This window comes from Homo sapiens, chromosome 6 (genome assembly GCF_000001405.40).
Source record: "Homo sapiens chromosome 6, GRCh38.p14 Primary Assembly".
Classification (NCBI taxonomy): Eukaryota; Metazoa; Chordata; class Mammalia; order Primates; family Hominidae; genus Homo; species Homo sapiens.
This window is the reverse complement of record NC_000006.12, coordinates 49,859,146-49,872,905: the sequence shown is the minus strand read 5'-3', so window position 1 is coordinate 49,872,905 and position 13,760 is coordinate 49,859,146. Positions and strand designations below refer to the sequence as shown.

General features: G+C 35.4%; 1 protein-coding gene across 3 annotated transcripts in view; it reads left to right on the top strand.

Moving 5' to 3' along the window:
- The window catches only part of CRISP1 (cysteine rich secretory protein 1), a 42,840-nt gene that overhangs the window by 4,191 nt on the left and 24,889 nt on the right, over positions 1-13,760 (top strand). For 2 of the 3 annotated variants that reach the window (NM_170609.2, NM_001131.3), the window contains exon 1: positions 6,371-6,477. The exons of the other annotated variant lie outside the window; for it this stretch is intronic. The gene's annotated coding sequence lies outside the window, so the exon portion shown is untranslated. Of the gene's footprint in view, positions 1-6,370; positions 6,478-13,760 lie in introns of those variants that run through there. 3 annotated transcript variants of the gene reach the window in all.

Sequence of the window (13,760 nt, the reverse complement as noted above, 5' to 3'; positions counted from 1 at the left end):
TCATATGGAACCAAAAAAGAGCCTGCATTGCCAAGCCAATCCTAAGCCAAAAGAACAAAGCTGGAGGCATCATGCTACCTGACTTCAAACTATACTGCAAGGCTACTTTAACCAAAACAGCATGATACTTGTACCAAAAAAGAGATATAGACCAATGGAACAGAACACAGCCCTCAGAAATAATGCCGCATATCTACAACTATCTGATCTTTGACAAACCTGACAAAAACAAGAAATGGGGAAACGATTCCCTATTTAATAAATGGTGCTGGGAAAACTGGCTAGCCATATGTAGAAAGCTGAAACTGGATCCCTTCCTTACACCTTATACAAAAATTAATTCAGGATGGATTAAAGACTCAAATGTTAGACCTAAAACCATAAAAACCCTAGAAGAAAACCTAGGCAACACCACTCAGGACATAGGCATGGGCAAGGACTTCATGTCTAAAACACCAAAAGCAATGGCAACAAAAGCCAAAATTGACAAATGGGATCTAATTAAACTAAAGAGCTTCTGCACAGCAAAAGAAACTACCATCAGAATGAACAGGCAACCTACAAAATGGGAGAAAATTTTCGCAACCTACTCATCTGACAAAGGGCTAATATCCAGAATCTACAATGAACTCAAACAAATTTACAAGAAAAAAACAAACAACCCCATCAAAAAGTGGGCAAAGGATATGAACAGACACTTCTCAAAAGAAGACATTTATGCAGCCCAAAGACACATGAAAAAATGCTCATCATCAGTGGCCATCAGAGAAATCCAAATCAAAACCACAATGAGATATCATCTCACACCAGTTAGAATGGTGATCATTAAAAAGTCAGGAAACAACAGGTGCTGGAGAGGATGTGGAGAAATAAGAACACTTTTACACTGTTGGTGGGACTGTAAACTAGTTCAACCATTGTGGAAGTCAGTGTGGCGATTCCTCAGGGATCTAGAACTAGAAATACCATTTGACCCAGCCATCCCATTACTAGGTATATACCCAAAGGATTATAAATCATGCTGCTATAAAGACACGTGCACACATATGTTTATTGTGGCACTATTCACAATAGCAAAGACTTGGAAGCAACCCAAATGTCCAACAACGATAGACCAGATTAAGAAAATGTGGCACATATACACCATGGAATACTATGCAGCTATAAAAAATGATAAGTTCATGTCCTTTGTAGGGACATGGATGAAGCTGGAAACCATCATTCTCAGCAAACTATCACAAGGACAAAAAACCAAACACCACGTGTTCTCACTCATAGGTGGGAATTGAACAATGAGAACACATGGACACAGGAAGGGGAACATCACACACTGGGGCCTGTTGTGGGGCGGGGGGAGGGGGGAGGGATAGCATTTGGCTTATCCCTTTTTAATGTGTACCTGTTTACAGATTTCTAATGTATTTCTACATATTTTTCAAATGTATGGTGGGTTGGACTTAGAAAAAATTGGCTTTGACTTTCGCTGAGTTTATGTTCAGTAGATTCATGGATTACTTCCCTGTAGAGTGACCATTTTAGAAGCATCCATCACTTTGTCCTCATTACTATGTCTATTTCCTGAAGCCATGTGATCATTACAATGTAACCTCTGTTCCAGTAGGGCAATTATTTTGTTCAAAACTATGTGTTCATCATCTTATATCTCACCTGGCATGGAGATGGCACTTAAATCAATGTTTTTGAATAATGAGTGCATGTTAGAAGGAAGACAGACACACTTTTTTATTTTTTTCTTTCTTTCTTTGTTTTTTTTTTGTTTGTTTTGTTTTTGTTTTTGTTTTGAGATGGAGTTTCCCTCTTATCCCCCAGGCTAGAGTGCAATGGCGCGATCTCTCAGCTCACTGCAACCTCTGCCTCCTGTGTTCAAGCGATTCTCATGCCTCAGCCTCCTGAGTAGCTGGGATTACAGGCACGCACAACCACATCCAGCTAATTTTTGTATTTTTAGTAGGCATGGGGTTTCACCACATTGATTGGCCAGGCTGGTCTCAAACAGCTGACCTCAGGTCATCCGCCCACCTCGGCCTCCAAAAGTGCTGGGATTACAGGCATGAGCCACCACGCCTGGCCTATTTTGTTATTAGAAACCCTAACTGAAGTCTACACAAACAACCTTAAGCAAAATTTGGGGATTAATTTGGAGCAGAAAACAATATCCTTCATAACTCAAGGATGTTGTTATATATACAGAGTTAAACAACTCAAGTAAATTTGGGTGAGTCTCACAAGAAACTGAAGGTTAGAAATTAAATCATATAAATTTGCATAATTGTCTGTATTAACAGGCTCTCTTGACCTTGACTTCGAGTCAGTTTTGGCCAAAGTCCAAGGTATGTATTTACTTACTTCCCAACCTGAAGAAGTTCTATGGGCTAGCTGTGTTTCAATACCTGAGGCCACAGCTTCTTGCAAGGCAGCCCTTTCCACACAGCTCCCTCACTTTCCAACCTACAATAACTCCTGCTTTCTCTCACCCATTCAGGTTAGGAGTGACAAATTTACTACTACTGGTTACTCTATTGTCCATACTGGTATTATTACACCCTACCCTCAACTTTGGAAATTTCCATCATTAAACTCTCCCTCAATTACCCAGTTTGAGTATGTCATCTTTTTGTGTTGGCATCCTAGCTGACACAAATTCCAAATTAACTGTATCTAAATCTCTACAGTCATTTTTGAGAAAGATCCATGTGATTGCCAGACTTGGTATTGGTTAGGAAGTTTGTTTTTGTGACAGTGCAATTTATTTGTCTATCTTTCTTTCTTAGTCTGTTTGGCCTGTGATAATAAAATACCTTAGACTGGGTAATGTACAAAAAACAAAAATTTATTTCTCACAGTTCTGTAGGCTGGGAAGTCCAAGATCAAAGAGCTGTTAGATTTAAAGTCTGAGAAGGGACCTGTTCCTTATAGATGGCACCTTCTAGCTGCATCCTCACATGGCAAAAACGGCACAGGCACTCCCTTCAACCTTGTTTGGGTTTAGTACCCCTGGGATTAGTCCCCTTATAAACGAGATTGAAGGGAATGGAGCCCTTTTGACTTAGTCTTTCCCAAAAGGCCCTAACTCTTAACACAATCACATTAGGTATTAGGTTCCAACACATAAACTTTGAGGGGACACCAACATTTAGACCATAGTACCTTCCTTTTCCATTTAAATTTTTGGCATGATTTTTTAACACTTTTACTCCTGGGAAAGAAAGGATACTGTTTTCATACTTCCAGCTTTATACTGACATCTTTCTGTTAACTTGAGAGGAATCACAAGACTTTCCTCAAGTGAGCTGTAGAAAAAACTGAATTTAAAGTTAAAAAGAGGTTAGGGGTAGGAGTGTATGATGGCAACTTCCAGGATAGCTTCAATAATCCTTGCCTCCTGGTAGTTATGCTCTTGTGTGGTCTTCTTGTTAATCGAATTAGAGCTAGACTCTGTGAACAATAGAATATTAAAGTGTGTGACTTCTCACTCTATGTCATAAAAGGCATTGCAGCCTCTCCTGTGTTCTTGCATCATTTGCTCAGGGGTAGGTGACTGTCAAGTTATAAGGATAATCAGAAGCCCTGTGGAAAGGCCAATCTGGAGAGCAACTAGGGCTTCGCACCAACAAACAGCACCAACTTGCAAGTCATATAAGTAAATCAATTTGGAAGCAGGAAAGCCATCAGAGATATAAATGTCTGCAGCCTCAACTGACAACTGATTGCAATCAATGAGGCACCATAAACCAAATGTGCTCAGTCAAGCCATCCTTGAATTACTGATTCCCAGAAACCAAGAGACCACATTTATTGCTTTAAATCATTGAGCCTTGGGATTATTTATTATGAGAAGTAGACAACTAAAACAAAGTTGAATAGAAGGATAAATGTATATTGACTTTCATTCTGATTATGAAAGCTATAAATTGTAGAAGAAGAGGGGGGAAATTTCAAAGGGCCATTAATCTCCCAGGGTTCTTAAAATTCAAATTCAGAAACTGACTTTGGCTTTATTTTATGTGCAACATAAGTTTGAATTTGTTAAAGTCTAGAGTACTTTTTGGCCTGAGTTTCTGAGCAAGTCTGGAGTCATTGAGCCCTTGCAACATACAGGACTTTGAAGCATAAGCACAATTTTACTGAGTGGTATGAAGAAGCAATGAGACACAAATGGGATTGTTGTAGGTAAGAGTTCAGTCATGGAGAAAGTGAAGGGAAAGGAGAGGATGTCTGTGTCCAGTGGATAATTAGAATAAAGCCACAGCCAGAATATATGCAAAATTATTTTACAAATATGATTTTAAAATCACATTTAACACATGAATGCTTCCTTCAACATGTATTATATATCTGGGCTTTCTAAAATTTTTGTTAGCCAATCTCTGAGTAAATGATTGATTTAAAGTTTCTTTTAAAAATGGATATATTCAGACAAACATGATGTGATTGTAAACACATTAGCCTTTATCTATCTCTCAAGATTTTTCTGGGATAATCCAGTTAGAAATATTCTATCATGTTATGATATGCTAGATAAATGTGTCAGATTATTATTTTAGGGAAAAAAGTTATTGTAGATAGTTTCCTACTATGCTAAAAAGCTTAAACAGAAAGAGAACAATCTATGAAAATAGGAAATTTATGAACAGAAACAGCCAACTGGCACCCATGTTTGGGACTCACATGCAAATCAAGTTATTCCTTGCTTTCCAACACTTCCCAAATTCTTTTAAAACCATATATGAAGCTGGATAGCAACTCTATATGAAGACATCAGTGCTATAAATACAGACAGCATTGTGTTGGGTAGAGCAATGCCAGGAATTGCCAGGACCAACAGATAAAACCAGAGCAATTAAGTTTCCATAAACACTTGACTTGATGTTGAATCAACACTCTCCTTTATAAACAGCAGTTTAGCAAGAAATAAATGACAATTATACATTTCTAATATATAAACCATGCTGGTTTGGTGAAGTAATAGCATTCTTTTGCAGCTTTCTTTTTACAATGTAGTTTGTTGGAGAAAGTTGCTCAATAATTTGGAAGTGTTAATTTCAAGATCATGTAAAATTCTTTAAAGCCAATTAAAGTTAAGCTAAAGATAATTCATCTTATCTATGAAAGAGTTTACAGATAAGCTTTTCTATGTTTTTAGATTAACACCATCTCCCTCAACCAAAAGAGAAATTCTTCTAGGTATAGGTGAGCAATTTTTAGTGATGTTTAGTTCTCCTTTCCTGCAGATGGTTTTCTGGACATTCATTATATACTTTAACAAGACCAGAAAGTTCTATCTTAAGAGACTCTGATCTTTCTTTTAATTTTTATTTCCTAACCCTCACCCCAGAACTAACACAAAATAACTTATGACTACACAATTCTTACCTTATTTTTACTCTTTCCTTTTAGATATTCAATTGCCCTTTCTTAAGCAAGATACAAGAAAAATATTTTTTATTAAATAATAATGTATTCTTTCTTACAAAGAACAAAGACTTAATTCATAATTTTAAAAAGAGGCCAGCAAGCTATGACTTCAATATAAGCGACCATGCACTCACATATACAAACATTTCCCAACTTTTCAGAATAATAAGACAATTCAAAAACATCTGATTACACCTAGTTTCAGAGTAAATTTTCTATTCTCATATGTGATTTCTGTCTGTGTGATATTTCTTTCTTTGTTCTAAGTGTCCTGTGATATTTCTCATCATGTGACTCAAATGATTTCTGGAATTTTTAGTGTTTTACAATTTAGTGTTCAGTATTTCTAGACCTCTCAAGGTAGTTAGTTGCTTCCACATTGTTTCTGGACAAATCTCTATTAGAATTCTCCCAAATTGCAGAAGTTTTCCTTTTAACCAGGAAGGTCTTAGGAAAATGGACTACTTATCTTTTCATTCCCAGAGCCTCTCCAAGTATGTGACACATTATAGAACAGTTACCAAACTCCATAAGATTGTGTAGTTTATATGTTTGGTGATTCTATGTATCCTCAGCATCTAGAAGAGAGCATAAATCATCTTAAGACCTCAATAAATAATTACTGAATGAATTTAATAAAGTTGAGAAGTTTCTGGACCAGCAAGTCATTTTCCCTTACAGTGACCTTTGTTATCTGATTGTGGCTCTGCTGAATCATGCAACTAATCTTTGCAGTTAGTTCCCAGGGTAAAAGTTTAAAATTGGTGAGTTCCATTGATGATGTTGCCTTGGTTACAAACTAGAAATGTCCCCATAATCATGATTTGTAATCTTCACAGACTCTAGATTTGTTCTGATTATCATGTATTCATGCCTGGTGTCCACCGTAAATCCCTTGATCTGTTATAGGCATTTACCTTGTACTGACTACCTCATTGAACAAATCTCCCCTGTGGACTGTCATTTAAAAGCACAAATACACTACATAGAGAAAGGCTTGGTTCTTATCAGGACACAAATTTAAAGGCTGTGTGGACTTGGGTAAGTTATATAATATCTTTGTCAGTTTCTTTATTTGAAAATAAGATTCATAAGTGACTACCCAAAAGCATTGTTATAATGTTAAATGAGATTACATGCAAAGTTTTATTCTAATGCTATTGTTATCTAAAAGTAAATGTTAGTTATCTCCATGCTTTTAATAAAGGTGTTTATAAGCTGATATACTATCCAAATATAAAGTAATATTACATGTTGAGTTCATTCTCATGAACTTCTTGGGGAGGGCTTAGAAGAAACATTTTTTCACGTAGGGACAATTACCATAGGGTTATATAGATCTGAAAATGACAACGTAGGCATCTTTTATTTCACAAAATATTGAAAATGCTGCCAAAAGAATTAGCCAGTAATAAGGGGCCATAGTCAAACAGGTAGTGGTCCTCTGTCACTTTTATAACTTGACATTTTGTTTTCGGGAGTTGCTAGACATTTAATGGATAATGGCGATTAAAGATTTATTTTACAGACTGTAAGGCAGCCTCTATCAGAACCAAGACAGCATGAAGGAGAAATTGAGAACTAGTGATGGGCCCCAGCGGGCAGGATTTTAAGCTGTCCAAACTTCTTTCTGCAGTCTTTCCATCTGCCAGTCTCCACCCTTGTTTCAAGTCTCCAGGGTCTTCATGCTAGGTCTTGGACTTGTAAATTACACAACTTTTGTGCCCCACCTCAGCCCTCCTCAACTTCCCTTTGGGCCCTTCCTGCTCCCTCACTCCCTTTCCAGTTTCTATCTCAATCCCATTAATGCTTTGTACTCTCTGAATTATTCTCTCCAAAACTGCTTATGGAAATCTTACCTTTAGTAATATATACCAAAGCAACCACCAACCACCTTCCTTTTGTTTTCACAAAGACCTTTTACATATAATGCAATGGATCAAATTGACTATAATGAGAGAAAATCATTAGACAAGAGAATTTGGAAGAAATATGACTGCACACTTCAAATAATATCAGATAATCATCAAATAGCTGGTATTTATGTCTTACAAATATGATAGTTTGCACATTTAGATTTGTAAAAATAAGATGGTACTCACATTTAAATCTATAACTCAAGGGAAAACAATTTTTGTTTTTAGTGGAAGGTAGTTATCAGAATCCTTATCTTTTCTCTATTAGATATTCCATTGACCTCATCTCTTTTATAAAAATGATCATCCTTTCCCCACTCAATTGCATTTGAGACTTTGTCATAAATCAGATGACTATGTATGTGAATTTGTTTCTGTATTACATAATATGCCATTGGTCCATTTATCTGTATTTGTGTTACTAGTACTCTGTCTTAATGACTTCAGCATTATAGTGAGTTTTAATACTTGGTATTGTAAATCCTACAGCTTTGTTCTCCAATATTTTTTCAATGTTAAATCTATCTTATAGAAGAAAATGCCTTTATGACTCATTACTTTTGGATAACCAAAATTTCTTAAATAGAACACACACATGCCAACACATGCATAAGCACTAACATAAGAAAATAAAAATTAGCTAGATTTATTTGAATTAGAAACTTTTGTTTAACAAAAGCTACAACTAAGATAGTTCAAATAATAAGCCACAGACTAAGGGAAGGTATTCGTAAAACATTTGACAATTGCCCTATCAAGAACATGTAAAGAATTCATACAAGCGAATAAGAAAAAGAGCCAACCTAATTACAACCATGGAAAAAACATTCAACAGAGATTACAGAAAAGATGGGATCAAAGTGGCTGATAAGCACATGTAAATAAGCTCAATATCTTGTTATTAAACAAATATAAATTAAAAACTGCAATGAAATAGTATTACACAAACATAATAGATTAAAATTGAAAAAAGCTGAGAATACAAATAATAGGTGAGGGTATGAAGCTGATGGAAGTATGATTTGATAAAACTCATTTGGAAAAATATTTGACAATACCTACCAAAGGAAGACATGTGTATACCATACAGCCCAATAATCCCACTCTGGGGTATATATCCAAACACATACACACACACACACACACACACACACACACACACACACACAGTGAATAGCAACAGTGTTTACTAAAAGAGGTACAGAGAAAATGTTCATAGTTTTATTTATAATAGTTCCAAACTGAAAATAATCAAAATTCTTATAAATAATAGAATGATTAAATTAATTATACTGTGTGTATACCATGGAATACTCTGCAGTTATTAACAAATCAAACTTCTTCACATGCAACGTGGTTGAATCTCATAAGTATAATAATGAGTAGTGAAAAAGGTTAGACATTAAAAATAGATATTTCACTTATTCAAAGTTTAAAAACTGATAAAACTAATCCTAGTTATATCAAGATAGGTTTTACTCTTGAGGGCTTCAGACTGAAAGGGGTGCAAGTGACCTTCCTGGGTGTTGGAAATCATCTATATATTGCTTTTGGTAGTGGTTACACTAGCATATACATAGTTGTAAATCAATCAAACTATACACTTAAGACTTGCATGCTGTGTTATATGTAAGTTATACCTCAGTAACTTTTTTAAACAAATAACAGATTCACTGAGGTGAGGAAGATTAAAAAGAAGATGTATTTCTTGTAGAGTTCATGTTAATTCTTTGTAGAGTTAATTCTTTGGTTAAGGCAAGGAAGGGACTGTTCTTCATGTAAGTGCTTTCTGAGAAGGTCATGGTCTAACAATTGATTCTATGAGAGTGCATTCCCCAGGGCATGCCATAGGGCAGTACCCAGTTGTCCTCAGTCTTTTCCCTCATCTTTGATCTTTCCTCTCACAAAATATTAACTTTTAGTTGTTTATGATTTACAAATTTGTCAACAAGAAACACAATCTGAAACTAAAGGGTAAAGAAATACATTTAAATAATGTATCAAGTTGCTGGTATTATTATCTGGAAATATTTTAAGAGTATTGGCTTAAGATTGCCATCTGTGTATAAAATAATTGTGTTAAGAAGGAATTGATGCTAAAGCCAATGAAGTAATGCTTCTTCTTCTTCTGTAATACTTCTGTTCAGAAGAGCTACCTTTACCTAAGTTCAAGCAGCTATGTAATTCCTTGGTTGAAATGGCCTACTTAGTTCCTAGATTTGCAATCTTCCAGGTGGTAGAGAATAATTTATCCTATTGGAACATTGGGATAAGATAAGTCCCAGAGGTTGGACTAGGGCTTAGTATCTCAGTCTGGATCTACAGGGTCTTTTACCCTGGGCCCATTTATATTTTCACCCTCACAAACTCTGTTCCAGCTCTGAGCCATGCTCTACAATTCTAATCTTTAGGTCTGCATCTTTCTTACATCAGCAGGATTTGCTATTTGCCAAATGCTCTATTTCCTGCAGTTTTCCATCCCTTCGGCTTTACCTGATTTTGACCCATATGTCCGGGAATTATCCCAAGGCCCAAAATCTGTACTATTATAATTCTGGGGCAACAGAGATACCTTCATAATTTCCTGTATTCAATCCTCATTCTGAAATGCTTAATTTACTTCTGATGTTGAATTATTAACTTTTACCCTCATATTTTGACTCAGTCACCCCAAGTGACTATTTTAGACCTCAAGCAAAAAAAAATGACCCTCCAGTTTTGTTTTGTTTTTTTTTTTGTAGCTTCTTTTCTCTGAGAAGGTGTAACTTTGAGTGTACGCATTTTACCTATTCATTGACCTCAAGCCAAAGCATGGACTGAAAAATCTAAGGTCCTTTCTTAGCAGTTTCCCTTAGCATAGTTGCCCTAAACTTTGATCAACCAGAATTCATTGGATATGCCAACATGCAAAGTAACCATAATCCCAGGTGATACCGATTATCCCATAATCATTCTCAAGAGATCATAATAAGTTTTCTTCTGGATGCTTTTAATACTTGCACAGAAAATAAGTTCTGGGATTAATTTACCTAGATTTAGCATTATATCAAATATCTTATATCATAAAACAATGAATTTTTTCACACACTTTTGACAAAAAAAACTATATGTAAAATATGCAGATTGTGTGTGTGTATATATATATTTTTCTAATATCAGTAATATTATGTATTTTCAGAAGTCTTCTATTAGAATTAATTAGAGCCCATAATTTTTGTGTCCTTTTCAATTTCTTTCATAAGAGTTTTTCAGTTTTCCTTGTAGAAGTTTTTCACCTCTTTGGTAAAATTTATCTTTACGTATTTTCTTTGAAACACTACTGATTTTTGCATGTTGATTTTATATCTTGCAAAGTTATTTAACTTACTTATCAGATCTAAGAATTTGGTGGAGTCTTTAGGTTTTCTAGACATAAGATCATATCATCTGCAAAGAGTGACAATTTGCCTTTCTCTTTCCCAATTTGAATGCCTTTTATTTCTTTCTCTCAAGTGATTTCTCTGGCTAGAACTTCCCAGCACTATGTTAAATAAGAGTGCTGAACATGGGCAATGTTGTCTTGTTATAGGCCTTAGAGAAAAGACATTCAGCTTTTCTCCATTTAGTGTGATGTTAGATGTGGATTTGTCATATATGGCCTTTATTATGTTGAGTTATGTTATTTTTTTTTTTATGGAGTCTTGCTCTGTTGTCCAGGCTTGAGCGCAATGGCATGATCTTGGCTAACTGTGACCTCTGCCTCCTGGGTTCAAGTGATTCTCCCACCTCAACCTCCTGAGTAGCTAGGACTATAGGTGCGTGCCACCATGCCTTGATAATATTTTGTATTTTTAGTAGAGACGAGGTTTCACCATGTTGCACAGGCTGGTCTTGAATTCATGACCTCAAGTGATTTGCCCACCTCGGCCTCCCAAAGTGCTGGAACTACAGGCGTGAGTTACCGTGCCTGGCCGAGCTAGGTTCTTTCAATTCTTAGTTTGTTGAGAGTTTTTTGTCAGGAAGAGATGTTAAATTTTATCAAATGCTTTTAAGGAGTCTGTTGAGATTACCATATGGTTCTTTTCCTTTATTTTGTTAATGTGATATGTCACATTTATTGATTTGCATATGTTGAACCATCCTTGCATCCCTGCTATAAATCCCACTGCTATAATGATCATGGTGCATTATATCTTACATGTGCTGTTGGATTTGGTTTGTTAGTATTTTTTTAAGGAACTTTGCATCTATGTTCATCAGGGATATTGGCCTATAGATTTCTTCTTTGTTGCATCCTTGTCTGGTTTTGGTATCAGAGTAATGGCAGCCTTTTAGAATGAATTAGGGCAACTTTACTTTCCTTGAATTTTTTTGGAATTGTTTGAGAAGAATAGGTGTTAGTTCATCTTTGAAGATTCGGTAGAATTCAGCAGTGAAATCATCTGATCCTGGACTTTTCTTATTGGTAGAGTTTTTATTATAATTCAGTGTCATTATTCATTATTGGTCAGCTCTGGTTTCTATTTCTTTCTGATTCAATCTTGGTAGGTTGTATGTCTCCAGGAATTTATTCATTTTCTCTAAAATTTTCAGTTGTTAGTATATAGTTATCCATGATTGTCTTGTGGTCTTCTGTATTTCTCTAGTGACAATTGTAATATCTTTTGTTTTTCTGATTTTGTTTATTTGGGTCTTCTCTTTTTTATCTTGGTTACTCGGCCTATTGGTCTTGTTTATATTTTCAAAAAATCAACATTTTTTTATCCTTTGTATATTTTTTAAAGTCTCTATTTTGTCTAGTTCTGCTCTAAACTTTGTGATTTCTTCTGCCAGTTTTGGGTTTGATTTGTCCTTATTTTCATTTAGTTCTTGAGATGCATTATTAGATTGTTTATTTAAAATCTTTCTTTTGTTTGAGGTAGTTGTTTGTCAGTATAAACTTGCCTTTTAGCACAGCTTTTGCTGTATCCCCATAGGTTTTGGTATGCTGTGTTTCAATTTTTATTTGTTTAAAAAATTGTTTGATTTACTCCTTAATTTCTTCCTTGACCCAGTGGTCATTCAGGAGTCTGTTGTTTAAGTTCTACATTTTTTACAGTTTCCAAATTTCCTCTTGTTATTGATTTCTAGTTTTATTTCACTATAGTTAGAGAAGATACTTGACATCATTTCAATTTTTAAAAACTTGTTGAGACTTGTTTTGTTTTGTAACATATGGTCCATCCTAGAGAATGTTTCATGTGCTGATGAGAGGAATGTGCACTTTGTAGCTGTTGGATAAAATGTTCTATAAATGTCTGTTAGGTTCGTTTGGTTTAATATCCAACTTAAATCCAATGTTTCTTTGTTAATTTCTATATAGATGATCTGTCTAATGCTGAGAGTGGGGTGTTGAAGTCCCCACTATTATAGCATTGGAGTTTGTCTCTCCCTTTAGATATAATAATATTTGCTTTATATATCTAGGTGCTCCATTGTTGGGTGCATACATTTAGAATTGTTACATTCTCTTGCTGAATTGATCCCTTTTTCATTACATAATGACCTTCTTTGTCTGCTTTTGCTGTTTTGAACTTAAAGTCTGTTTTATCTTATAGCTATAAGATAAACTATAGCTATTCCTGCTTGGTTTTGGTTTCCATTTGCATGAAGTATCTTTTGATATCCCTTTGCTTTCAGTCTATATCTATCTTTACAGGTGAGATGACTTTCTTATAGACAGAATACAGTTGGGTCATATTTTAATCCATTCAGCCACTCTGTATTTTTTAAATTGAAAATTTAATCCATTTACATTCAATGTTATTATTGATATGTCATTTTGTTAGTTGATTTCTGGCTGTTTTGCATATTTTTTGTTTCCTTTTTCTCTTATTGTTTATCATGGTGGTTAGGTAGTTTTATGTAGTGATAACATTTGAGTTTTTGCTCTTCCTTATTTGTGTTTGCTCTACCAGTGGGTTTAATACTTTTGTGTGTTTTCATGATGGTAGATATCTTTTCACTTCCATGTGTAGGGCTCCTTTAAGCATTACTGGTAAGGCCAGTCTAATGGTAGTAAATTCCCTTAGCTTTTGCTTGTCTGGAAAAAACTTTTTTTTTAATCTTTCATTTATGAAGAATAACTTTCTTCGTTATAGTATCCATAGGTGGATGTTTCTTTTTTTTTTTTTTCTTTCAGCACTTGTTAAATATATCATCTCTGGCAGCAGCAGCTAGGTGCAGCAGACACTTCAGGTGGGAAATGTCAATGTGGCTCCAGAGATGTGGATATGCAAGGACTGCTGGGGCCCTGTGCAGGATGCAGCCTGGTTGGGAATAGGCTCTCAATAAAGGACGCTTCTGTAGCTGCCTAGCACTCAAGGGTGTGTGAAACCCGTGGGACCCACCGTGAACTCTCCTCTGGAACTGTGCCTTTGGGCAGGCTCC